The 25,930-nt window shown below is 48.2% G+C and overlaps 1 protein-coding gene and 1 long non-coding RNA gene across 8 annotated transcripts, besides 3 other annotated features; one reads left to right on the top strand and one right to left on the bottom strand.

Moving 5' to 3' along the window:
• Window positions 1–409: 409 nt before the first annotated feature.
• Window positions 410–17,937, bottom strand: ZNF114 (zinc finger protein 114). 6 transcript variants are annotated; one of them, NM_153608.4, is made up of 6 exons: window positions 17,799–17,937; window positions 16,569–16,773; window positions 16,190–16,291; window positions 8,210–8,287; window positions 5,521–5,647; window positions 410–2,257 (listed from the first exon to the last, which is right to left on the bottom strand). In NM_153608.4, the coding sequence occupies exons 4-6, from the start codon at window positions 8,216–8,218 to the stop codon at window positions 1,140–1,142; spliced, it is 1,254 nt and encodes a 417-aa protein (NP_705836.1). In that variant the 5' UTR covers window positions 8,219–8,287; window positions 16,190–16,291; window positions 16,569–16,773; window positions 17,799–17,937; the 3' UTR covers window positions 410–1,139. The 6 variants fall into 6 exon arrangements, with proteins under 6 accessions (NP_705836.1, NP_001356740.1, NP_001318026.1 ...); NM_001369811.1 differs by having other exon boundaries at window positions 16,569–16,731; NM_001331097.1 differs by lacking the exon at window positions 17,799–17,937 and adding an exon at window positions 16,903–17,115 and having other exon boundaries at window positions 16,190–16,269.
• Window positions 15,684–16,189: an enhancer, noted in NCBI's record as "H3K27ac-H3K4me1 hESC enhancer chr19:48775086-48775591 (GRCh37/hg19 assembly coordinates)". NCBI's record gives its function as "activates a minimal SCP1, AML or CMV promoter by ChIP-STARR-seq in naive H9 embryonic stem cells {active_cell/tissue: H9 hESC(naive)}" and the evidence as "EXISTENCE:reporter gene assay evidence [ECO:0000049][PMID:30033119]".
• Window positions 16,186–25,118, top strand: ZNF114-AS1 (ZNF114 antisense RNA 1). 2 transcript variants are annotated; one of them, XR_936008.4, is made up of 3 exons: window positions 16,186–16,402; window positions 17,785–17,873; window positions 24,834–25,118. It is a non-coding gene; the product is annotated as a ZNF114 antisense RNA 1 (long non-coding RNA). The 2 variants fall into 2 exon arrangements; XR_936009.3 differs by lacking the exon at window positions 16,186–16,402 and adding an exon at window positions 16,635–16,797.
• Window positions 16,190–16,696: an enhancer, noted in NCBI's record as "H3K27ac-H3K4me1 hESC enhancer chr19:48774579-48775085 (GRCh37/hg19 assembly coordinates)". NCBI's record gives its function as "activates a minimal SCP1, AML or CMV promoter by ChIP-STARR-seq in naive H9 embryonic stem cells {active_cell/tissue: H9 hESC(naive)}" and the evidence as "EXISTENCE:reporter gene assay evidence [ECO:0000049][PMID:30033119]".
• Window positions 20,876–20,925: an enhancer, noted in NCBI's record as "active region_14876". NCBI's record gives its function as "activates an Ori minimal core promoter by ATAC-STARR-seq in GM12878 lymphoblastoid cells {active_cell/tissue: GM12878}" and the evidence as "EXISTENCE:reporter gene assay evidence [ECO:0000049][PMID:35858748]".
• Window positions 25,119–25,930: the final 812 nt, after the last annotated feature.

Below are 25,930 nucleotides of genomic sequence, written 5' to 3'. Positions count from 1 at the left end.
TTTTTTTTTTAGAAAGGAAAAACTGGAAAATCATGAACATTTACAGTGTTTCAGTCCTACTGTGCGCTCATTGTGCCTAAGTGAAAGGCTGGACCTGAAAGCTTTCTTTTTTTTTTTGAGACAGGGTGTCACTTTGTCACCCAGGGTGGAGTGCAGTGGTGCAAACACAGCTCACTGCTGCCTCAAGCTCCCAGGCTCAAGCGATCCTCCTGCCTCAGCTCCCCAGGTAGCTGGGACTACAGGCATGTGCTACCACTCCTGGTTAATTTTTGCATTTTTTTTTTTTTTTTTGTAGAGATGGGGTTTCTCCATGTTGCCCAGGCTGGTCTCAAACTCCTGGACTCAAGCAATCCCCCACCTTGGACTCCCAAAGTGCTAGGATTACAGGTGTGAGTCACTGCACCAGGCCTTGAAAGCTTTCTTATTTTTATTCCAGTTGTAGCCTCCCTTCAGGATGTGGATTCACATGCAACATGAGTGGTAAGTGTTTAAAGAGGTCTTTCCTACTTTTTTTTTTTTTTGAGACGGAGTCTCGCTCTTTCCCCCAGGCTGGAGTGCAGTGGCTCCATCTCGGCTCACTGCAAGCTCCACCTCCCAGGTTTACACCATTCTCCTACCTCAGCCTCCCAAGTAGCTGGGACTACAGGCACCTGCCACCACGCCTGGCTAATTTTTTTTGTATTTTTAGTAGAGACGGGGTATCACCGTGTTAGCCAGGATGGTCTTGATCTCCTGACCTCGTGATCCGCCCGCCTCGGCCTCCCAAAGTGCTGGGATTACAGGCATGAGCCACCGCGGCCGGCAGGTCTTTCCTACATTTTTTATTTCCGTAAGGAGTCTCTGCAGTGTGAGTTCTTGTATGAACCATGAATTTGAGACCACGCTGAAGGCTTTGTCATATTCCTTTTAGATTCGCAGTTTCTCTCCAGGGTGAGAACAAATGTCTACTCAAGATGAATGAAGATGAAAGGCTTTCTGTAGACTTTACCTTCACAGGGTTTTTTTTCACATTTCTGTAAGATACGAGAGTTCAGGGAAGATGTTCTCACTCATGCTAACCCCTTGAGCTCCCTTCCAATATGTCCTCCTCACATGTTTGGTACAGTCAGAAAATTAATGAAAAATTTTCCACCTTCCTTTCATTCACAGGGCTTCTCATCTTTGTGAGTCTTAAGATGTTTTTTAAGTCCTGACGACTTTGCAAAGTCTTTTCCACATGTCTTACATTTATAGGGTTTCTCTCCAGTGTGGCTCCTTATATGTGTATATTTTGAGGACTCCCGAATGACTTTCCCACATTCTTCACATTCGTAGGGCTTCTTCTGCACAACATGCTTTCTTAAATGTTTATTAAGGTGTAAGGAATATCTAAAGGCTTTCCCACATTTCCCACATTCATACGGTTTCTCTCCAGTGTGAATTTTCATATGTCTCATAAGGAATGACTGATAAAAAAAGGCTCTCCCACATTCGGGGCATTTATGGGTTTTCTCTCCAGTGCAATGACTCTTGTGTGAACCGGAATTTGGAGCGTTGGCAGAGGTTGCCCCAGTTTGACAATCCTTCTTGTTTGTCTCTGCGGTATACAACTGCATCTGCATGGCGTGAATTGAGTTATTTCTGGAGGTGTTCTCGCACTGAGTAAAATCATACATTTTCTCTCGACCATGAGTGTTGTGTGCCCTAAGGGATCCGTCTTCACGGAAAGCTTTTCCAAATGGATTCCGCTGGTGCCTGTTGGCCCCCGTATCAATTTCATCACGTATATGATGCACAGTGTTCTGACTGCCAGTCCATGTGCTTGATTTCAGCTCTGTTTTTCTCCCACACGGAACCCACTGAATGTTCCACCCCAAGACTCCATCGTCTTCGTTGTTTTCATGTGTTTTTTGACTATCGTTTAAGACAGGATTATACTTGAAAATACTTGAGTCACGTGTTAGGATACATTGTCTTATGGAATCTCCCTGTGAAGGCACAAGCCTGCAGGTAGGTTTAGAGTGGTTCCTCATTTCATGATCTTCACAAATGCTAACAGGAGATTCATCTTTCTCAGGGGCAACTGCAGGTGGCTTCACATTATTCACCCCCTGCCTGTGTGGTTCCTCTGTTTTGGGGCATCTCCAGTCTTCTCTTAATGTGGAGTGCTGGGAACTGATGCTCGTGAGACACACTCTGTTGGCTTCAGGAAATGTTCTTTTAGGAAGAATATCCGGCTGAGGGGTTGCGTCTTTGGTTTTACATGGAGTTGCCCAATCTGAAATACAGTGGCACAAAAGTTAAATTCTTTGTTGAAAGTAAAGGTGGGTTAGAGATGATGACATAGGCAATCTCCGTGTGGATTTCTCTCTTTCTTTCTTTCTTTCTTTCCCTCCCTCCCTCGCTCCTTCCATCCTTTCTTTCTTCCTTCCTTCCTTCCTTTCTTTCTTTTCTCTTTCTTTCCCTTCCTTCCTTCCTCCTTCCTTCCTTCCTTCTTTCCTCTCTCTCTCTCTCGTTCTCTCTGTCTTTCTCTCTTTTCTTTAGACAGAGTCTTACTCTGTGGCCCAGGCTGGAGTGCAGTGGCATGATCTTGGCTCATTACAACCTCCGCCTCCCAGGTTCAAGCAATTCTCTGGCCTCAGCTTCCTGAGTAGCTGAGATTACAGGTGCGTGCCACCATGCCTGGCTAATTTTTGTGTTTTCAGTTGAGATGGGGTTTCACCATGTTGGCCAGGCTGGTCTTGAATTCCTGGCCTCATGTGATCCACCTGCCTCAGCCTCCCAAAGTGCTGGGATTACAGGCATGAGCCAACGCGCCAGGCCTCTGTGTGGATTTCTTTCTAAATGTTCACTCAACATGTATGATAAAAATGTGAAGGGGAAGAAAGCAAGAGGAAGGAAGCAGAGAAAGACATCAGAGATTCTGCAGTGTCAGGAATGTGATGACGGTAAGGTCAGGGGTTCAACATGGAGAGTGTCATGTTACTGAGGAACAGTTCTGCAGAGATCAAGGAAACGATCAGGAATTCTAAGTGGAAGAGAATTGGACAGAGAGTCCATGTGAAATTTTTATTTTTTTGAGATGAGGGTGTCACTAGGTTGCCCAGGTGCTGGAGTGCAGTGGCTGGCTATTCATAGGTGTGATCACAGCACACTGCAGCCTTGAGCTCTTGGGATCAAGTGATCCTCTTGCCTCAGTCTCCCGAGTAGCTGGCTCCATGTGCAATTTTAAGGAGAAAAGGAACAGGCCTTTAGCAGGGAAAAATGAAAATATGAGAGGATGGATAAAAGTCAAAAAACATAAGCTTGGACAGGCACAGTGGCTCACGCCTGTAATCCCAGCACTTTGAGAGGCTGAAGTGGGTGGATCACCAGAGGTCAGGCGTTTGAGACCAGCCTGGCCAATGTGGTGAAGCCCCGTCTCTACTAAAAATAGAAAAATTAGCTGGGCATGGTGGCGTGTGCCTGTAATCCCAGCTACTCAGGGGGCTGAGGCAGGAGAATCACTTGAATCCGGCAGGCAGAGATTGCAGTGAGCTGAGACTGAGCCACTGCACTCCAGCCTGGGCAACAGAGTGCCTGTTTTTTTCTTTCTTTTTTTTTCCTTTTAATTAAAAAAAAATTGTTTTTAAAGACAAAAAGAACAGTGTTTTGCCATGTTGGCTGGGCTGGTCTCGACTTCCTGGCCTCAAGTAATCCTCCTCCTGCCTCAGCCTCCCAAAGTGCTAGGATTACAGGTGTGAGCCACTGTGCCTGGCCTATAGGTCTCCTTAGCTGCTCTGTAGATAACAACTTGAAAATTATAAAACATTAAGTTTTCTCTTTGAGATATTCCTTCAGGTCCTGCATTCTGATGAAATGACTATGCTCACTGATCTGAGGAATGCCGTGAGAAACTGACGCACCAAAGAATGTACTTTCCTCATCCCGATGATTTCATCCCCCTTCCTCTGACCAATCAACGTCTCCAATTCTCCAGTCCCTTATCCTCCATGATCCCCTTAAAAATGAGAGCAGTGGCTCATGCCTGTAATGCCAACACTTTGGGAGGCCGAGGTGGGCGGAGCACTTGAGGTCAGGAGTTTGAGACAAGCCTGGCCAACACAGTGAAACCCCGTCTCTACTAAAAATACAAAAATTAGCCAGGTATGGTGGTGCATGTCTATAATCCCAGCTACTCGGGAGGCTGAGGCAGAAGAATTGCTTGAACCCGGGAGGTGGAGGTTGCAGTGAGCCGAGATCGCGCCACTGCACTCCAGCCTGGGCAACAAGAGTGAAACACAGTCTCAAAAACAAAAAAAAAACAAAAACCCCAGAACCCCCCAGGGAGAAGAATTTGAGCGTCTCCTCCCATCTCCTCGGTTGGCACCATGTAATCATGCAACTTTCTCTTTTCTCTGTTGCAAACCCTGCTGTCTCAGTGGCGAGCCTGTTGCTCTGTTACCATGCTGCTGGCTTACAAACCTGTTGGTCCTGTAATGTTCACATCTACCTGGTACTGAGATGCATAAATGCCTGGACAAAACTGCCCTGCACTGTTTTCAGACCACTTCTTGCTCCAAATGAGAGGGCAGACTGGGTTTGCCTAGTTGAAATCCTGCTCACTGGGCAAGCATGTGGTATAAAGGAACTGTGCCGAGACTTTCTGTCAAATGGACACAGGCTTTGGTTTGCTGGGGTTCTGAAGCTGATGATGTGTGAATAGAAGTGCAACAGTGGTCCCTCTACTTTTCTCATCAATGCACTAAAACTCTGCCAAAAGGGCTCAAAACGACCCTTTTCCTGTGCACCATGTTCACCTACATAAGGATCCCCCAAATTCTGTTCAATCACGAAGAGAATAAAAATGTAATGCATTAGCTGGGGGTGGTAGAGCATGCCTGTAATCCCAGATACTCAGGAGGCTGAGGCAGGAGAATTGCTTGAGCCCAGGAGGCGGAAGTTGCAGTGAGCCGAGATGGTGCCACTTCACTCCAGCCTGGGTGACAGGGTGAGACCCCATCTTAATGAAAAGAAAAATAAAGGCTGGGTGTGGTGGCTCACGCCTGTAATCCCAGCACTTCCGGAGGCCGAGGTGGGAGGATCACTTGAGGTCAGGAGTTCAAGACAAGCCTAGCCAACGTGGTGAAATCTGCCTCTACTAAAAATACAAACAAAAATTAGCCAGGTGTGGTGGTGTGCACCTGTATTCCCAGCTACTAGGGAGGCTAAGGCAGAAGAATTGCATGAACCTGGGGGGTGGAAGTTGCAGTGAGCTGAGATGATGCCGCTGCACTCCAGCCTGGGAGATAGAGTGAGACCCTGTCTCAAAAAATAAATAAAATAAAATAAAATAAAATAAAATATAAAATAAAATAAATAAAGTAATGCAACAAACTGACTTCCAGTTTCATGGTGAACCCTACACCTACTACCTGGGGGGCAGCAGCTGTGTCTCTGGAATTTAACCCAGTTCCCATTTTCCAATGCACTTCCCAGAACACGGTTCCAAACCAGCACTGGTCCCATCACGGACTAAGTGCAGGAAGGGGGCCTCCTTACCTATGAATGCCAAGTTCCTAGAATTTTCCAGCATCACGTCTCTGTAGAGATTCCTCTGAGCTGGGTCCAGCAGGGTCCACTCCTCTTTGGTGAAGTTCACAGCCACGTCTGCGAAGGTCACCGAGTCCTAAAATAACACATGCAGTTTGGCTCGGAGGGGTGTCCTGTTATCAGTTTGAACTGTGACCCCTTTCTCCACAGAAAAAGGTAGGTTGAGGTCTTAACCCTTGGTACCTGCAAAGGTGACCTGATTTGTGAACTAGAGTCTTTGCAGATGTCAATGAATTAAGATGAGGTTGTGGCCGGGCGCGGTGGCTCACACCTGTAATCCCAGCACTTTGGGAGGCTGAGGCAGGTGGATCACAAGGTCAGGAGTTCGAGACCAGCCTGGCCAGCATGGTGAAACCCCGTCTCTACTAAAAATACAAAAAATTAGCTGGGCATGGTGGTGGCGGGTGCCTTTAGTCCCAGCTACTCAGGAGGCTGAGGCAGAGAACTGCTTGAACCTGGGAGGTGGAGGTTGCAGTGAGCCGAGATCACACCACTGCACTCCAGCCTGGGCTACAAAGTGAGACTGTCTCAAAAAAAAAAAAAAAAAAAAAAGATGAGGTTGTACTGGGGGTTGGGTGGGCCCTAATCCAGTGACTGGTGTCCTTATAAGAAGAGGAAATCTGGCCAGCTGCAGTGGCGTATGCCTGTAATCCCAGCACTTTGGGAGGTTGAGGTGGGACGATCGCTTGAGGCCAGGAGTTCAAGACCAGCTTGGGCAACACAGTGACAACCCGTCTACAAAAAATAAAAAAATTACCCGTGAGTGTGGGCGGGTGCCTGTAGTCTCAGCTACCCGGGAGGCTGAGGAGGGAGGATTGCCTGAGCCTGGGAGGTGGAGGTTGCAATAAGCTATGATCCTCCCACTGCAGTCCAGCCTGGGCAACAGAGCAAGACCCTGTCTCAAAAAAACAAACAAAATATAAATTAAAAAAAAAAAAAAAAAAAGAAGGGGAAATGTGGACAGAGGGAGGGAAACAGAGGGAAGAATGTCATTTGGTGAGGGAGGCAGAGACTGGAGTGATGGGTCCACAAGCCAGGGAATGCCAAGGACGCCAGTGACTACCAGCAGCTAGGTAAGAGCATGGAACAAATTCTTTTTTGGAGCCTCCAGAAGGAAGCAACTCTGCCGCTATTTTGATCTCGGACTTCCAGCCTGCAGAACTGTGAGAAAATCAATGTCTGTTGTTTAAGCCACCCCATCTGTGATAGTTTCATCAGCCTGAACAGCCTAATGCAACAGGAAGAGGTACAGTCGATTGGTAGAGACTGACGTCCGGTCGTATGACTCAGGTGCTCTTTCTTCTGAGACAGGGTCTTGCTCTGTCACCCAGGCTGGAGTGCAGTGGTGCAAATGCAGCTCACGGCAGCTTCGAACTGCTGGGCTCAAGCGATCCTCCCACCTCAGCCTCCCAAGTAGCTGGGACAGCCAGCACACACCATCACCTGTGGCCCTGTCTCAGGAAAAAGAGTACCTGAGTCACGCGACCGGACTTCAATCTCTACCAGTTGACCAACTGTGTGTCTTTCTCATGCATTAGCCTGTTCAGGCTGTTATAACAAACTATCACAGAGGGGTGGCTACTCCTTAAACCCTGGCCGGGCATGGTGGCTCGTGCCTGTAATCCCAGCACTTTGGGAGGCCGAGGTGGGCGGATCACCTAAGGTCAGGAGTTCGAGACCAGCCTGGCCAACATGGAGAAACCCCATCTCAACTAAAAATACAAAAATTAGCCGGGCGTGCTGGCAGGTGCCTGTAATCCCAGCTACTCGGGATGCTGAGGCAGGAGAATCACTTGAACCTGGAAGGCGGAGGTTGCAGTGAGCCGAGATCATGCCATTGCACTCCAGCCTGGGCAACAAGAGTGAAACTCCGTCTCAAAAAAAAAAAAAAAAAAAAAATTTGGAGTGGGGCACGTCTCAGTCCACTGCTTGTCATCTGCAGGTCATGACAGTTGCGGGAGATGCTGCCACTGCCCGCTCCATAAACGCCTAGTGTCCCCTGTGAGACCCTGAGTTCCTTAAGACAAAAACACTTTCTTTTTATTTTACTTTATTATTATTTTTAGAGACAGTCTTACTCTGTCACCCAGGCTGGAATGCAGTGGAGTGATCACTCCTCATTGTGGCCTCAACCTCCTGGGCTCAAGCGATTCTCTCACCTCAGCCTCTTAAGTAGCTGGGACGACAGCCGTGCACCACCACACCAGGCAAATTTGTTTTATATTTATAGAGACGGTGGTCTTGCTACATTGCCCAGGCTGGTTTTGAACTCCTGGCCTCAAATGATTCTCCTGTCTCACCCTCCCAAAGTCCTGGAATTACAGGCTTGAGCCACTGCACCCCACCAAAGACACTTTCAGCTCCTTTCTTAGTGTGCTTTGCAGCAGAACGTGAAGCCCACTGGCAGCCAGGATGAGGTGTGGAAAGGACCAGTCAGTACTGGGGTGGGGGTGGTCCCAGGAGAATCCCCAGGGCAGCATCTCTCTCCAAGCAGAGGTGCAGAGACCTAGGGCAGCACGGCTGGCGGGGGGCCCTGCCTGGCTCCATGTGCTTTACCTGACTCCCAGCCACAGGCAGAGGCACATTGACTCGTGGGAACGACAACACGCTTCTGGGAGAGGGTGAGCTGCCAACTTACCTGGGACATATTTGTCACCAACGTGACGGCCAGTCCTGGCTTCCCCGTGTTTCCTTCAAGGAGGCAGGTGAGGCAGAGCTTGGGAGAAGAATGGAGCTATGAGAATCCAGGCACCCTGCCTTCCCCACACTCGTATGTGGATCCTGCCTGACATTAATCTCAGCATATAAATGCACGTGTGCACACACTTCCCCACCACAGCCCACAACCCCCACCCCCTCTACACCCACCCACCCACACACCCACACACCCCCATCCCCTCACTCCAACCCCCTTACGCCCACCCACCCACACACCCCATCCCCCCACCCACACACACACTCACACACACACCCACACACCCCCATCCCCCCACCCCCGCCCCCCACACAGACACCCACACACACACCTATATTTTAATTTAATTTTTTAGAGACAGAGACTTGTCCTGTTGCCCAGGCTGGAGTGCAGTAGTGCAATCATGGCTCACTACAGCCTCAAACTTCTGGGCTCAAGTGATCCTCCTGCCTCAGCCTCCTGAGTAGCTGAAGGTACAGGCATGGGCCCCCATGCCTCCTAATTTTTCATATTTATTTTCATAGAGATGGGGTCTCACTATGTTGCCTAGGCTGGTCTCAAATTCCTGGCCTCAAGCAGCATTTTTTTTTAATCGAGGTGAAATTTGCATATCATGAAGTTAACCATTTTAAGTGAACAATGCAGTGGCATTTAGTGCATTTGCAATGTTGTACAAACGTCACCTCTACCTAGTTCCAAATACTTTTCATCACCGCAAAATAAAACCCCATCCCCCTTAGCAGTCACTTCCCATTCTCCCCTTCACCCAGCTGCTGGCAGCCGCTAATCTAATTGCAATTTTTTTTTTTGAGACGGAGTCTCACTCTGTTGCCCAGGCTGGAGTGCAGTAGCACGATCTCAGCTCACTGCAGCTTCCGCCTCCCTGGTTCAAGTGATTCTCCTGTCTCAGCCTCCCGATTAGATGCCATTACAGGTGCCTGCCATCACACCTGGCTAATTTTTTGTACTTTTAGTAGAGATGGGATTTCGCCATGCTGGCCAGGCTGGTCTCGAACTCCTGACCTCAAGTGATCCGCCCGCCTCGCCCTCCCAAAGTGCTGGAATTAGGGGTGTGAGCACCGCACCTGGCCCATAGCGGTATTCATTACAGCCCAAAGTAGAGACAACCCAATACTGATCAATGCATGAACAAAGAAAGCAAACGTGGTCTATCCGCACCATGGAATATTACCCAGCCATAAAACGGACTGAGGCACTGACACACACTACAACCCAGTGAGCTCTGAAAACAGGATGCTGAGTGAACGAAGCCAGACACAAAAGACCACAGTGTATGACCCCATTGAAAATGAAATGTCCAGAATAGGCGAATCTATAGAGACAGAAAGCAGATCAGAGGTTGTCCAGGGCTGGGGGAGATGAGGGACTGGGAGATGACCACTGAAGGATACAGGGCTTCTTTCAGGGGTGATGGAAATGTTCTAAATTTGAGGGACGTACACGTCTGTGAATATACTAAAAGCCATTGAATTGCACCCTTTAAGAAGGTGAATTGGGCCGGGCGCGTTGGCTCAAGCCTGTAATCCCAAGACTCTGGGAGGCCGAGGCAGGTGGATCACTTGAGGTCAGGAGTTTGAGACCATCCTGGCCAACATGGCGAAACCCTGTCTCTACTAAAAATACAAAAATTAACCGGGCGTGGTGGCGCACACCTGTAATCCCAGCTACTTGGGAGGCTGAAGGCAGGAGAATCACTTGAATCTGGGAGGTGGAGGTTGCAGTGAGCTGAGATCGCACCACTGCACACCCCAGCATGGGCAACAGAGCGAGACTCTGTCTCAAAAAAAAAAATTTCAAATATAAGATGAAAAGTGTTCATGTTACTGGGAAGTCAGATTTTTAGTGTAAGAGGAAAAAGTTTCAAATATAAGATGAAAAGGCTTCATATCGTCACGAACACACACACACACACACACACACACACACACACACACACCCAATGCCTCCCTGGTCAGTCTATTCATAGAAAATGCTTAGAAGAATTAAGAAGCAGGAGGCAATGAACACCCTCGGAAACATGGCTGATCTGGGAACAGAAAATTCCCAGTGTGAGCCTTGCGGTGCCAGATGGCAGGGGAGCTGCCCTAGACCGCGTTAGGAGGATGCACAGCGGCTGGAAACGTCTCCCAGCGGCCGGATTTGAACTACAAAGTGAATCATTGCAATTGATGGAAACACACTGAACACTAAAAATACCTGCGCTCATAATGATACCCAGACAGAGAAAACCAGAGGGGGAAAAAAACACAAGCCTTGGTTAATAAAGAGGAAAAATTAAGCCTTTACTTTGCCTTTCCAATAAGAAAAGAAACGGAATAGCCTTACGGATGACGGAAAACTACAGAATTCCAGCTACATATTCATTTTTTTATTTTTATTTTTTGACACAAGGTCTCATTCTGTCATCCAGGTTGGAGTGCAGTGGGGAGATCTCGGCTCACAGCAGCCTCTGCCTCCTGAGTTCAAGTGATTCTCCTGCCTCAGCTTCCCAAGTAGCTGGGACCACAAGCGCCTGCCACCACGCCCAGCTAATATAACAAAAATATATATATTAAAAAAAATTTTTTTTTGAGACAGGGTCTCATTCTGTCGCCCAGGCCGGAGTGCAGTGGCACGATCTCAGCTCGCTGCAACTTCCACCTCCTGGGTTCAAGCAATTCTCCTGCCTCAGCAGCCTCCTGAGTAGCTGAGATTACAGGCTTGGGCCACCACGCCCAGCTAATTTTTGTATTTTTAGTAGAGACGGGGTTTCACTATGTTGGCCAGGCTTGTCTCAACTTCTGACCTCAGGTGATCCGCCTGCCTCGACCTCTCAAAGTGCTGGGATTACAGGCGTGAGCCACCACGCCCAGTCCCAGCTACATGTTTAGTTGGGACAATTGAATATTTTTAAAAATCACCATTTTGGGCTGGGCTGGGTGGTTCACACCTATAATCCCAGCATGTTGGGAGGCTGAGGCAGGAGGATCACTTGAGCCCAGGATTTTGATACCACCCTGGGCAACATAGCGAGGCCCCATCTCTACAAAAAATTTAAAAATTAGGTGGGCACGCTGGCGTGCGCCTCTAGTCTCAGCTACTCAGGAGGTTGTGGGGTGGGAAGATCATTTGAGCCCAGGAGGTTGATGCTGCAGTGAACTATGATTGCACTACTGCACTCCAACTTGGGTGACAGAATGAGGCCCTATCTCAACAAAAAAAAATCATCATTTTGCAACCTTAATAAAACAACTGATTCAGGAAATAAGACACGTCGGTGGACACAGAAAGGGGAGGCAGTCATTAGCAGGGTACGGAGGCATCACTCAGGACTTGCTGGGCGTAAAGGAATGCAACTTTCAGAGGTAAGGCTCTGCAGGTGCAGTGGCCTAAGGCTGTAATCCCAGTATTCTGGGAGGCTGAGGCAGGCAGATCACCTGAGGTAGGGAGTTTGAGACCAGCCTGACCAACATGGAGAAACCCCGTCTCTACTAAAAATACAAAATTAGCCGGGTGTGGTGGCACACGCCTGTAATCCCAGCTACTCGGGAGGCTGAAGCAGGAGAATCACTTGAACCTGGGAGGCGGAGGTTGCGGTGAGCCGAGATTGCACCACTGCACTCCAGCCTGGGCAACAAGAGCGAAACTCCATCTCAAAAAAAAAAAAAAAAAAAAAAGAGGTAAGAGGCTCTCTCACCTCCAGAAACTACCCCACCAATGTTAGCTTGACTTGTACAGGGACAAACAGCCATTATAGCTTTTTTTTTTTTGAGATGGAGTCTCACTCTGTCACCCGGGCTGGAGTGCAGTGGTGCGATCTCAGCTCACTGCAAGCTCTGCCTCCCGGGTTCACCCCATTCTCCTGCCTCAGCCTCCCCAGTAGCTGGGACTACAGGCGCCCGCCACTGCGCCCTGCTAATTTTTTGTATTTTTAGTAGAGACGGGGTTTCACCGTGGTCTCGATCTCCTGACCTCGTGATCTGCCTGCCTCGGCCTCCCAAAGGGCTGGGATTACAGGAGTGAGCCACCGCGCCCGGCAACAAACAGCCATTATAGTTACACTGATGTGATGAACACACCACCTACGATGTATCTTTCATTTTTATTTTGTTTAAATTTTTCTTTGTTATTATATATGTTTCAAGACAAGGTCTCGCTCTATCACCCAGGCTGGAGTGCAGTGGCACTAGCTTGGCTCACTGCAACCTCTGCTTTCTGGGTTCAAGAGATTCTCCTGTCTTAGCCTCCCAAGTAGCTGGGAGTACAGGCGACCACCACCACGCCTGGCTATTTTGTGTGTGTGTGTGTGTGTGTGTGTGTGTGTGTGTGTGTTTTAGTAGAGACAGGACTTCATCATGTTGGCCAGGCTGGTCTTGAACTCCTGACCTCAGGCGATCATCCTGCCTCAGCCTCCCAAAGTGCTGGGATTAAAGCCACGAAGCCTGACCAACCTAGGATGTTTCTGTCTCCCTCCCTCCCTCCCTTCCTCTCTCTTTTTCCCTCCCTCCCTCCCTCCCTTCCTTCCTTCCCTCTCTCTTTCTCTCTTCCTCTCTCTTTTTCTCTCTCTCTTTCTCTCTTCCTCTCTCTCTTTCTCTCTTTCTTTCTTTTTTGAGACAGGGTCTCACTCTGCTGCCCTGGCTGGAGTGCAGTGGTGTGATCAGAGCTCACTGTAGCCTTGACCTCCTGGGGTCAAGCAGTCCTCCCACCTCAGCCTCCCAAAGTGCTGGGATCACAGGCGTGAGTCACCGTGCCTGGCCAGGTCTAACTTTCAACGACACAAGGAACAACCACACAAATGCACAGGCGTGGACGTTCTGCCATTCTGACTACCCAGGGACTCCAACTAGTAAATGTCATGAACAAAGGGAGGCAAGTTCGAGGGTGTGAGCCCTGGAAGAGAAACGCACACAATGTGTTTGCATCCTGCCTAAAGAAACATAACTCTAGGCCAGGCGTGGTGGCTCACGCCTGTAATCCCAGCACTTTGGGAGGCCGAGGCGGGCAGATCACCTGAGGTTGGGAGTTCGAGGTCAGCCTGACCAACATGGAGAAACCCCATCACTACTAAAAATGCAAAATTAGCCCGGCATGGTGGCACATGCCTGTAATCCCAGCTACTAGAGAGGTTGAGGCAGGAGAATTACTTGAACCTGGAAGGCAGAGGTTGCGGTGAGACGAGATTGCACCACTGCACTCCAGCCTGGATAACAAGAGAAAAACTCTGTCTCAAAAAAAAAAAAAAAAATATATATATATATATATATATATAAAAGTTTTTTTCTATTAAAACAAAACAAAAACAAACCCCCAAAACTCTTCCTGCTCCAAATGTGACATCTGATGACCGTTTAATGACTGTGGTCAACTTAAATAGTATAAGATGAGTCATTTGTTCATAAAATGTTAGAATGCCATAAAATCTACAACTTACATGATATTTGGAAGAAACTTGATGGCAAGTTCCCTCAATTTGAGGACAAATCTAAACGTTTACATGACACTGTCAGCAATGAATTGCGGACTCAAAACTTTTCTAAACCATTAATAATTTAAAAATTAAATTAATCATATGAGAAAAAGCTGAATTTATATATAGACACTCACACATAAATATATGTGTGTATATATTTATATATATGTGTGTGTGTATGCATTTATATATATACATGTATAAAAATATATATACATATATATTGGCCAGGCACGGTGGCTCACGCCTGTAATCCCAGCACCTTGGGAGGCCGAGGTGGGCGGATCACGAGGTCAAGAGATCAAGATCATCCCGGCTAACACGGTGAAACCCCGTCTCTACTAAAAATACAAAAAATTAGCCGGGCGTGGTGGCGGGCGCCTGTAGTCCCAGCTACTCGGGAGCCTGAGGCAGGAGAATGGCGAGAACCCGGGAGGAGGAGCTTGCAGTGAGCCGAGATAACGCCACTGCACTCCAGCCTGGGCGACAGAGCGAGACTCCGTCTCAAAAAAAAAAAAAAAAAAGAAAAGCCCCACTGTTGCCTGGGGGATCCAAGTCACTTTGACACAGAAGCAAGCCTGTGCAACTCAGGGGCTGAGCTGTAAATAAGAGTTTTTGAGACACAACATTCCACGTCTATCTTGACCTTATAGTTCCCAAGGAAACAGCCACACCTGATGATAACCCCATTACACGCATCTCAGCTGTAAGCCTACCTAAGAAGATAAAACCGCCTATTTCAATTTAAGTTTCCCTGAATTCCGTCCTTTCCCCAATACAATTGGAGCGCCGGTTCTGACCCTAGTAACCTCAGACACATCAGCTCAGGACAGTAGTTTAAAAAAAAAAAAAACAGAAAAGAAAAGAAAAAGAAAAACAACGCATCATTGTGAGTCAGCTCAGGTGAGCAGGCTGAGGTTGGCTTTTGCCTGATTGTCCATGACGAAGATATACCTGGCTGATGAAACACATTCCCACCTTTGCCCTGAGTTCCAGTAAATCAGACCTCACCGGAGCGGATTAGTGATAAAAATGCATCTTGTTCCGACCGTGGGGTTTGATCCTGACACCTTCACACCACTCTCCTTGCAGCTTGTCCTTTTTATATATTTCCTCTGCTGAGGTCTCAGTTCCCATAAAAGACCATGTTCAGCACACGGAACTCAAACCCTCAAAGCTCTTTATCTGGCCAGGCGCTGTGGCTCACGCCTGTAATCCCAGCCCTTTGGGAGGCCGAGGCGGGCAGATCACGAGGTCAGGAGCTCGAGACCATCCTGGCTAACGCGGTGAAACCCCGTCTCTACTAAAAATACAAAAAATTAGCCGGGCGCGGTGGCGGGCGCCTGTAGTCCCAGCTACTTGAGAGGCTGAGGCAGGAGAATGGCGTGAACCCGGGAGGCGGAGCTTGCAGTGAGCAGAGATCGCGCCACAGCGCTCCAGCCTGGGTGACAGAGCGAGACTCCCTCTCAAAAAAAAAAAAAAAAAAAAAGCTCTTTCTCGTAAGAAACCAGTGCATCCTGCACGTCTGGCCCTGCCCAGGACTTTTCAGTTCACCCTCATCACAACAGGCTCCAATCCAATACTTTTTTTTTTTTTTTTTTTTTTTTTGAGAGAGAGTCTTGCTCTGTCGCCCAGGCTAGAGTGCAGTGGCACGATCTCGGCTCACTGCAACCTTCACCTCCCAGGTAGAAGCGATTCTCCTGCCTCAGCCTCCCAAGTAGCTAGGATTACAGGCGCTCGGCTCACTGCAATCTCCACCTCCCAGGTTCAAGCGATTCTCCTGCCTCAGCCTCCCGTGTAGCTAGGATCACAGGCGCCCGCCACCATGCCCGGCTAATTATTATTATTATTATTATTTATTTTTTTTTTTGAGACAGAGTCTCCCTCTGTCGCCCAGGCTGGAGTGCAATGGCTCGATTTCGGCTCACTGCAACCTCCACCTCCCGGGTTCAAGCGATTCTACTGCCTCAGCCTCCTGAGTAGCTGGGATTACAGGCGCATGCCACCACGGCCAGCTAATTTTGGTATTTTTAGTGGAGATGGGGGTTTCACCATGTTGGCCAGGCTGGTCTCGAACTCCTGACCTCAGGTGATCCGCCCACCTCGGCCTTCGAAAATGCTGGGATTACAGGCGTGAGCCACCGCGCCCGGCCAGCTCCAATACTTTCATGGATGCAAAGAACACAACCCCTGCAACCGCTGCATGCGGGCATCTCTGCTGCCCAAGCCCGGGGACAGGCGCTTTCGCAACGCTGCAGCACGGTATGGGGGAAGCGCCCTTCTCCCTGGGCCAAGGTGAAGGGCGCGCTCGGGGTCTGAACACGTGGGTCATTCGTGCCTTCCCCTTTCCTCCCGGAAGGGTAGAGACAATGAGGCTTTTGCAGACAGCAACTCTCAAGTCCCTGGGCCCCGGCCCGGTCCCGCCCTTAGTACGGACACTCAGGCACACTTACTCTTCCACTAGCTCCGGCTTCCAGATGTCTCTGTCGGTGGCGCAGCCCAAAAGCGCGCGCAGCCCAGGAGCGTCTCGGAGCTGCACCAGGATGGGGATCAAACTGTTGAAATAAATCAACCTAACGAGGCCGCCAGGAAGGACCGACTACAGAGATTCGTCCTGCCCAGACATTTTGTACTCGCTTCTTGACCCCTTCCTCAAAATGGACGGTGTAAGGGACCAGGGGGAGGAGAGGGGAGCCGAGCAGGCAGGGGATCCCAGCGCCCGCACTCCTGCCTGCCCACCCCCGTCCCACCCCCCGCCCCCGGGACCCGATCGACCCGACCCCAGAGTCTGACCCCCACGACCAGTAGATTGACATTTCCTGTAGAACTTACTCCCCAGGCACTCCTGATCCAAGCAGGAAACCCCAGCCTTGGGTCCTCGCTGTCGCCTCCGCCCGCGCCACCGTTCCTAGGCTCTCCAGCTGGGAAGCGCGCTCTCTGCGCAGCCAACGCGCCTCCTTGCGGGCTCCGGAGACTCCGGCCGCTTGCTGGCTTCCTGCATTTCCCAAGGAAAGAAGGCTTTTTTTTCCCCTCAGTACTGTAAAAGGGCGGAAACAGACAGGTTGGGGAGTCTCCAGTTTCTCTCTTGTCCCCATTTTTATGTTTTTGCTACCACTCCCCCCCATCCGTTGACTAGCGGCTAAACCGCAAGGCTCCCGTCGCCTACCCTTGAAATGATTTTTTTCTTCCTTCCTTCCTTTCTTTTCTTTCTTTCTTTTTTTTTTTTGAGACGGAGTCTCGCTCTGTCGCCCAGGCTGGAGTGCAGTGGCGCGATCTCGGTTCACTGCAACCTCCGCCTCCCGGGTTCATGCCATTCTCTCGCCTCAGCCTCCGAGTAGCTGGGACTACAGGCGCCCGCCACCACCCTGGCTAAGTTTTTGTATTTTTAGTAAAGACAGGGTTTCAGCGATCTCCTGACCTCGTGATCCGCCCGCCTCGGCCTCCCAAAGTGCTGAGATTACAGGCGTGAGCCACCGCGCCCGGCCCTTCTTTTCTTTTCTTTCTTTCTTTCTTTCTTTCTCTTTTTTCTCTTTTCTTTCTTTCCCTTTTTTCTCTTTCTTTCTTCTCTTTCTTTCTTTTCCTCTCCCTCCCTCCTTCCTTCCTTTTTTCTCTTTCTTTCTTCTTTTTCTTTCTCTCTCTCCCTTCCTCCTTTTCTCCCTCCCTCCCTTCCTCCCTCCCTTCTTTCTTCTCTTTCTTTCTTTCTTCTTTCTTTTTTCTTTCTCTTTCTTCCCTCCCTCCCTTCTTTCCTTTCTCTCTCTCCCTCCCTTTCTCTTTCTTTCTTTCTTTCCTTCCTTCCCCCCTTCCTCTCTCCCTCTCTGCCCCTCCCTCCCTCCCTTCCTTCCTTTTTTATTTTTTTCCTTTTCTTATTCTTTTTTTCTTTTTTTTTTTCTGAGACAAGTTCTTGCTCTGTCCTTCAGGCTGGAGTGCAGTGGCGCAATCTTGGCTCACTGCAGCCTCAAGCGATCCTACCACTTCAGTCTCCCAAGTAGCTGGGACCACAGGCACGTACAAGGCATGCCTGGCTAATTTTAATTTTTTTTTTTTTTAGAGATGAAAACTCACTATGCTGCCCAGACTCGTCTCGAACTCCTGGGTGTCACGCGTGTCCGTATAGAAGACCACCTAAACAGGCTTTGTGTAAGCAACAAAGGCTGTTTATTCACTTGGGTGCAAGTGGGCTGAGTTGGAAAAGAGAGTCAGCGAAGGGAGATAGGAGAGGGGCAGCTTTATAGGGCTGGGGTAGGCAGTGGAAAGTTACAGTTAAAGGTGGTTATTTGTTGTCAGCAGGGGAGGGGCTCACAAGGTGCATTGTGGAGAGATCATGGGACTCATTGTCCAGGAGAAGAATGTCACAGGGTCGACTGATCAGTTGGGGCAGGGCAGGAACAAGTCATAATGGTGGAATGTCATAAGGTGGGTTAATCAGTTAAGGCAGGAACTGGCTGTTTCACTTCTTTTGTGGTTTTTCGGCTGCTCCAGACTTCTTGGCTCCTGCAGGCCATCTGGACGTATATGTGTAGGTCACAGGGGTTACAATGGCTGAGCTTCGGCTCAGAGGCCTGACACTGGGCTTAAAGTGATCCTCTGGCCTTGGGAGGCTGAGGTGGGCAGATCACCTGAGGCGAGGAGTTCAAGGCCAACATGGCGAAACCCTGTCTCTACTAAAAATACAAAAACGAGCTGGGCATGGTGGTGCATACCTGTAATCCCAGCTGCTCGGGAGGCTGAGGCAGGAGAATCGTTTGAACCTGGGAGGAGGAGGTTGCAGTGAGCTGAGATAGCGCCATTGCACTCCAGCCTGGGTGACAGAGCAAGACTCCGTTTCAAAACAAACAAAACAAAACAAAACCCAAAATGACTGCCTAAACCCAGACCTCTAGGACACAGACTCAGTTTCCCACCCTGACTCTGCTTAACTGGGGAGTCGCTTGATCTTCAGGTGCCCCTGATGCAAATCAGCTGAACAAAGCGTTTATCCTCTACTCGAGTTACATCGTTTCTTTTCCTTTGAGGGTCCCCAGCAAACCTTGATGTGCATCTCTTTTTCTTTTGGTTCTTTGGGAGGAAAGATTAAGCCCAGCCCAGCCAGCTCCTGGAGCTCCCCAGGAAGGAAGGGCTGGGAGTCCCTATCTGGTCAATTAAATAATTTATTTATTTATTTATTTTGAGACGGAGTTTCGCTCTTGTTGCCCAGGCTGGAGTGCGATGGCGCAATCTCAGCTCACCACAACCTCTGCCTCCCGGGTTCAAGCAATTCTCCCACCTCAGCCTCCCGAGTAGCTGGGATTACAGGCACACGTCACCATGCCTGGCTAAGTTTTGTGTCTTTAGTAGAGACGGGGTTTCTCCATGTTGGTCAGGCTGGCCTCGAACTCGCAACCTCAGGTGATCCACCTGCCTCGGCCTCCCGAAGTGCTGGGATTACAGGCATGAGCCACTGCACCCCGGCCTAAATAATTTATTTTTTATGGACTGTCTTTCTTCACTCTAGTAATGAAATTCTACCATAAAGCTTAAATTGCCAAATATTGATCATACTTACCCCAGTTACATTTTTTTACGGTGATAAAATATACATCACAAACATTTCCATGTGAACCATTTTTTTTTTTTTTTTTGTGACGGACTCTCCCTCTGTCACCCAGGCTGAGGTGCAGTGGCACGATCTTGGCTCACTGCAAGCTCTGCCTCCCGGGTTCACGCCATTCTCCTGCCTCAGCCTCCTGAGTAGCTGGGACTACAGGCATCTGCCACGCCCAGCTATTTTTTTTGTATTTTTAGTAGAGATGGGGTTTCACCATGTTAGCCAGGATGGTCTCGATCTCCTGACCTCGTGATCCACCCACCTCGGCCTCCCAAAGTGCTGGGATTACAGACATGAGCCACCGTGCCCGGCCTCCATGTGAACCATTTTAAAGTGTACACTTCAGTGGCATTAAGTACAGCCACATCGCTGTGTAACCATCATCACGATTCATCTCCAGAACTTTGTCATCTTTCCCAATTAAAACTCCGTACCCGTTAAATAATCACACCCCATTCCCTTTTTCTCTCAGTCCCTGGTAAGCTCTGTTCTACTTTCTGTGTCCAGGAATTTGACTGTTCTAGGAATCTCCTAGAAGTGGAATCACTCGGCCTTTGCCTTTTTGTGTCTGACGTATTTAATTTTGCACAATGTTTTCCAAGTTCACCTACGGTGAAGCATGTATCAGTATTTCATTCCTTTTAAAGTCTGAAAAGTATTCCACGGTATGTAGTGTTCAAAAGTAAAATGTATGGCTGGGCATGGTGGCTCACACCTGTAATCCCAGCACTTTGGGAAGCTGAGGCGGGCGGATCACCTGCGGTCAGGAGTTCAACACCAGCCTGGCCAACATGGTGAAACCCCGTCTCTACTAAAAATACAAAAATGAGCCAGGCATGGTAGTGCATGCCTGTAGTCCCAGGTACTCGGGAGGCTGAGGCGGGAGAATTGTTTGAACCTGACGGGGAGAGGTTGCAGTGAGCCGAGATCGTGCCACTGCACTCCAGCCTGGGCAACAGAGTGAGACTCTGTCTCAAAAAAAAAAAAAAAAAAAAAAAAGTACAATGTGACATAAGAAAATTTCTGACCTCGGGCTGGGGGCGTTGGCTCACACCTGTAATCTCAGCACTTTGGGAGGCTGAGGTGGGCGGATCACCTGAGGTCAGGAGTTCAAGACCAGCCTGACCAAAATGGAGATACCCCGTCTCTACTAAAAATACAAAATTAGCCGGGCGTGGTGGCGCATGCCTGTAATTCCAGCTACTCGGGAGGCTGAGGCAGGAGAATCGCTTGAACCTGGGAGGCGGAGGTTGCGGTGAGCCGAGTGTGCCATTGCACTCCAGCCTGGGCAACAAGAGCGGAACTCCATAAAAAAAAAAAAGAAAATTTCTGACCTCTTCCCCAAATAAACTACCTGCACGTAAGCCCTCATTTCAGGCTCTCCTTTTTGGAGGCTCCCAAATTATGACCGAAGGAGTCCAAGGACTTGAGAAGAACCCTGTTAAACCTTGGTTCAGGTCTGGGCTCAGGGCACTAAAGGATATTCCTCTTGCGACCTCTAGTGGTTGTAGGTGTCCAATTCCCTTCTATTTTCTCTGGGTCTTCATCTCCAGCAGTGCTTCCCTTCCCTTGTTTTCTCATCCTCTCCCTTCAAAAACCTGCTTCTTGGCCAGGGGCGGTGGCTCACGCCTGTAATCCCAGCACTTTGGGAGCCTGAGGCGGGCGGATCACGAGATCAGGAGTTCGAGACCAGCTTGGCCAACATGGTGAAACCCAGTCTCTACTAAAAATACAAAAATTAGCTGGGTGTGGTGGACGCCTGTAATCCCAGCTACTTGGGAGGCTGAGGCAGGAGAATCGCTGGAAGCCAGGAGGCGGAGGTTGCAGTGAGCCAAGATTGCGCCACTGCACTCCAGCCTGGGTGACAGAGCGAGACTCTGTCTCAAAAAAAAAAAAAAAAAAAAAACCCACAAAAAACCACAAAAAAACCTGCTTCTTTTCTGGTATCCTCAATATCCCGTTTCACCTATGCCTTCACTGCTAGGTGGATCTTTTTAAAGAAAATTGGGAACATTATATTATTTCACCTGTAAAAATATCACTACGATGGCCAGGTACAGTGGTTCATGCTTTGAGAGGCCGAAGTGGGTGGATTGCCTGAGCTCAGGAGTTCGAGACCACCCTGGGCAAAATGGCAAAACCCTGTCTCTAAAAAAAAAAAAAAAAAAATTAGTCAGGCGTGTGGTGCACGTAGTCCCAGCTACTTCAGCTACTTGGGAGGCTGAGGCGGGAGGATCACTTGAGCTCAGGAGGTGGAGGTTGTAGTGAGCTGAGATCTTGCCACTGCACTCCACTCTGGGTGACAGAGTGAGACTCTGTATCAATAAATAAAAAATAAAAAATAAAAATATCACTATGTATGTTTAAAAGATGAAGAGTTAAAAAATGCTTTACTGTCTTACATGAATACTCCCTTACAATGAAAAGTAATCATCATTCAGGACATCATAAAATATCCCGTTAATGTTGTCATTTCCCTGGTTCTTATTTTTACTTTATTGCTTTGCATAGAGATACAAATCATCCACTATAATAGGTTTTTGTGTGTGTGTGTTAATTCTTTGTTAATCTAAGTTGCCACTTATTTAATTCCATCCCCCCATTCAAACATTGCTATTGTTGTAGAAAGTAGGTCATTTTTTCTGTAAAATTTTCTTTGGTTTCAGTTTTGCCAATTAGATCCTTGTGTTGTCATTTAACATGTTTTTCTTTCTTTCTTTCTTTCTTTTTTGAGACGGAGTTTCGCTCCTGTTGCCTAGGTTGGAGTGCAATGGCGTGATCTCGGCAAACTGCAACCTCCGCCTCCTGGGTTCACACCATTCTCCTGCCTCAGCCTCCCGAGTAGCTGGGATTACAGGTGCCCACCACCAGGCCCTGCTAATTTTTTTTGTATTTTCAGTAGAGACGTGGTTTCACCATACTGGCCAGGGTGATCTCGAACTCCTGACCTCAGGTGATCTGCCCGCCTCAGCGTCCCAAAGTGCTGGGATTACCAGCGTGAGCCACTGTGCCCGGCCTTGGTTGCCTGTTTTTATGGTTATTTCTTCATGATATGGTAACCAAGGGGTGGATTATTCATGCCTTCCCTTTTTGGTCCACATAGGGTAACTTCCTGACGTTGCCATGGCATCTGTAAACTGTGATGGAGCTGGTGGGAGTGTAGCAATGAGGACCACCAGAGGTCACTCTCGTCGCCATCCTGGTTTTGGTGGGTTTTGGCCGGCTCCTTTACTGCAACCTGTTTTATCAGCAAGGTCTTTATGACCTGTATCTTGTGCCGACCTCCTATCTCATCCTGTGACTTAGAATGCCTTCATCATTTGGGAATGCAGCCCGGTAGGTCTCAGCCTCATTTTCTCCACCTCCTACTCAAGATGGAGTTGCTCTGGTTCAAATGCCTCTGACAAAATGTCTACGGAGGCCGGGCGCGGTGGCTCATGCCTGTAACCCCAGCACTTTTGGAGGTTGAGGCGAGTGGGTCATGAGGACAGGAGTTCAAGACCAGCCTGGCCAACATGGTGAAACCCCCATCTCTACTAAAAATACAAAAATTAGCTGAGCGTGGCGGTGGGCACCTGTAATCCCAGCTACTCAGGAGACTGAGGCAAGAGAATCATTAGAACCTGAGAGGCAGAGGTTGCAGTGAGCTGAGATCATGCCATTGCATTCCAGCCTGGGCAACAAGAGCGAAACTCCATCTCAAAAGAAAAAAAAATGTCTATGGGAGGTGGGCAGTCTCCCATAGCTGGGACATCAGCGGTCTGTGGTGACAGCCTGTCATCCCTCTGTCCCTTCACTAACCCCTCCCCTAGGAGCCTTTCAGTGCTGGGAACTGGCCCTAGCGTTCAGCTACCCCACACCACATTCCCAGGTTCCTAGCTCTTCAGCCCTGTTGTCTGCATGCCTCTGTATCAACTCTTGGTGTTTTTCCTACGAAGATCTTCTCTAAGTCTGTTGGTTTATCCAATATCTTGGTTTCTCTTGGTGGGAGTGGTGCTTCTGGGCTGTGTCCAGTCAGGCATCTTGACCCTCCTCTAGGCATGATTTTGAAAATTTAATCTGTTCCCTGACTTCCTGGAAACATAAGCTGGCTGGGAAATGGGCTTGCGAGACATTGTGACATCCCGAGGAGACTTCTCCTCATTGGGAGGGATCAGAGGCTGCCCTTGCTCTTCTCCCTTTTGTCTCTTGTGAGATGTGAAGCTTCATGTGAATATTGTGTGGAGCCAACACCATGGAAGGCAAGGTGGACACCTGGAGAAACGTTCCTTCCCTGTGGTGTTTTTGGAGCTCATGGATCAGCCTCCCTAGGGTCAGTCCTACCTTCTGTCCTTGCATTCAACGGAGCCAGGACACTCTCTTTATATTTTTACTGCATTGAAGTTGAACTTTCAGTCATTTGCCACACAAGAGTTTACACAGATCCAGAGGACATTGCAGATTGCTGCCCTGGGTGATTTAAAAAATTAATCTGGAGATGACATTAGGAGATAGAGCATTGTAGACCTGGATCCATTACTTGCCAGTTAATGGAAATTTACTTTTTTTTTTTTTTTTTTTTGAGACAGAGTCTCACTCTGTCTTCCAGGCTGGAGTGCAGAGGCACGATCTCGGCTCACTGCAACCTCCGCTACCTGGGTTCAACCAATTCTCGTGCCTCAGCTTTCCAAGTAGCTGGGATTACAGGCATGGGCCACCACGCCCGGCTAATTTTGTATTTTTAGTAGAGACGGGGTTTCTCCATATTGGTCAGGCTGGTCTCGTACTCCCAACCTCAGGTTATCCGCCAGCCTCAGCCTCCCAAAGTATTGGGATTATAGGCATGAGCCACCGTGCCCAGCCTGCATTTCATTTAACTTTGCTACACTGTATATGTTGTGTAGGTACTGGACAAATGGGTCCTAATTTTATAATATCTAGTATCTAGATATTAAAGAGTTTGTCAATATAAGACAAAACTAGAGTTAGTAAACTAATATATTTTGTACACTTTGTGTTAAAATTAATTAAAAGGCTATCTTCCGAAAAGGACTTTTGGAAGTGAAATGGTGATTATTTTCCTTGCCTTCCATTCTTCTCTCGTACAACTCTAATCATTTTTCTTGCCTAAATTGTCACCTTGATTTCTTTAAAATACTTGGGTTTAGGGACCGTTGTCTAATCCATTACCTTCACCGGCTCTGCTATGACATTTTTTAAAGATTAGATTTTTAAAATAATGGCTTTATGGATATATAGTTCACAAACCACACAATTCACCCACTTAAACTATACAATTCAATGTTGTATATATAGTATAGTTATGAAGTTGTACAACCACCACCACACTCAGTTTTAGGACAGCGTCATCACCTCAAAAAGAAACTCATTAAGTGGCACTCCCCGTTCCCCACAGGCACGCACACCCAGCCACAGGCACCCACGCATCCACCTTCTGTCTCCATAGGTTTACTCATTCTGACGTTTGATTTAATAGGAGTTGTTATGGACTGAATGTATGTGTCCACCCTCAGGTTCACGTGTTGAAATCCTAACTCCAAATATGATGATAGGAGGAGATGGGGCCTTCGGGAGGTGATGAGGTCATGAGGGTGGAATCCTCATGAATGGTCTCAACGCCCTTAGAAAAGAGACCCCAGAGACCTCGCTCCCGCTTTCTACTGTGGGAGAATGCAGCAAGAAGTCAGCCGTCTATGAACAAGGAAGCAGGTCCTCTCCAGGCACTGAATGTACCAGTGCCTTGATCTTGGACTTCCCAGCCTCCAGAACTATGACAATAAATTCTGTTGTTTAAGCTACATGGTCTATGATACTTTTGTTAAAGAAGCCCAAAGTGACTAAGACAGGCATCAAACAATATATTGTCCTTTGTGATGGATCCTTTCACTTTGCATAATGTTTTCAAGGTCTATCCATTTTATACCACATAACAGCACCTCCTTTGCTTTCATGGCTGAATAATATTCCACCGTATGGAGACACCACGTATTCTCTGTCCATTCAGCAGACGATAGACATTTGGGTGAGTTCCACTTTGGGGCTGTTATGAAAAATGATACTGTGAATATTCAGGTACGAATTTCCATGTGGACAGATTATTTCCTTCTCTTGGGTGCATACTTAGGAGTGGAGTTGCTGGGTCATATGGTAACTCTATGTTTACCCTTCAAGGAACTGCCAGACTGTTTTCCAAAGCGCCAATTTCCATTCCCACCAGCAGTGTAGGAGGGGGCCAGCTTCTCCATATCCTCACCTATAATTGTTATTATGGGCCTTTTAAAAATGGCCATTCTAGTACGTGTAAAGTGATATCTTATTGTAATTTTTGAAGATTAATTTTTATATAGTGGTAAAAATAGATATTATTAATAGCATTGTAGACACTTTGGATAACAGAAAAGAAAATTAGTGAATTACAAATTGCTCAAAATCCAAACACCCATAAATAATCCATCTTAACTTTTTGACTATTTGGTTTTATTAAATATATTAAAATGGGGTGACCGGGCACGGTGGCTCAGGCCTGTAATCTCAGCATGTTGGGAGGCTGAGGCAGGTGGATAGCCTGAGCCCGGGAGTTCCAGACTTGCCTGGTCAGCATGGCGAAACC

The sequence above is a fragment of the Homo sapiens genome, chromosome 19 (assembly GCF_000001405.40).
Source record: "Homo sapiens chromosome 19, GRCh38.p14 Primary Assembly".
Classification (NCBI taxonomy): domain Eukaryota; kingdom Metazoa; phylum Chordata; class Mammalia; order Primates; family Hominidae; genus Homo; species Homo sapiens.
This window is presented reverse-complemented; position numbering and strand designations above follow the sequence as displayed.

Excerpts from the sequence above, each read along its gene's own strand:
- ZNF114 (NM_001331098.1), bottom strand. Across the intron at positions 5,648-6,328 it reads GCACCCGCCCACACTCACGG|GACTCGGTGACCTTCGCAGA; the intron begins GTAATTTTTTTA and ends GTGTTATTTTAG. Across the intron at positions 2,258-5,520 it reads TAGGAACTTGGCATTCATAG|ATTGGGCAACTCCATGTAAA; the intron begins GTAAGGAGGCCC and ends ACTGTATTTCAG.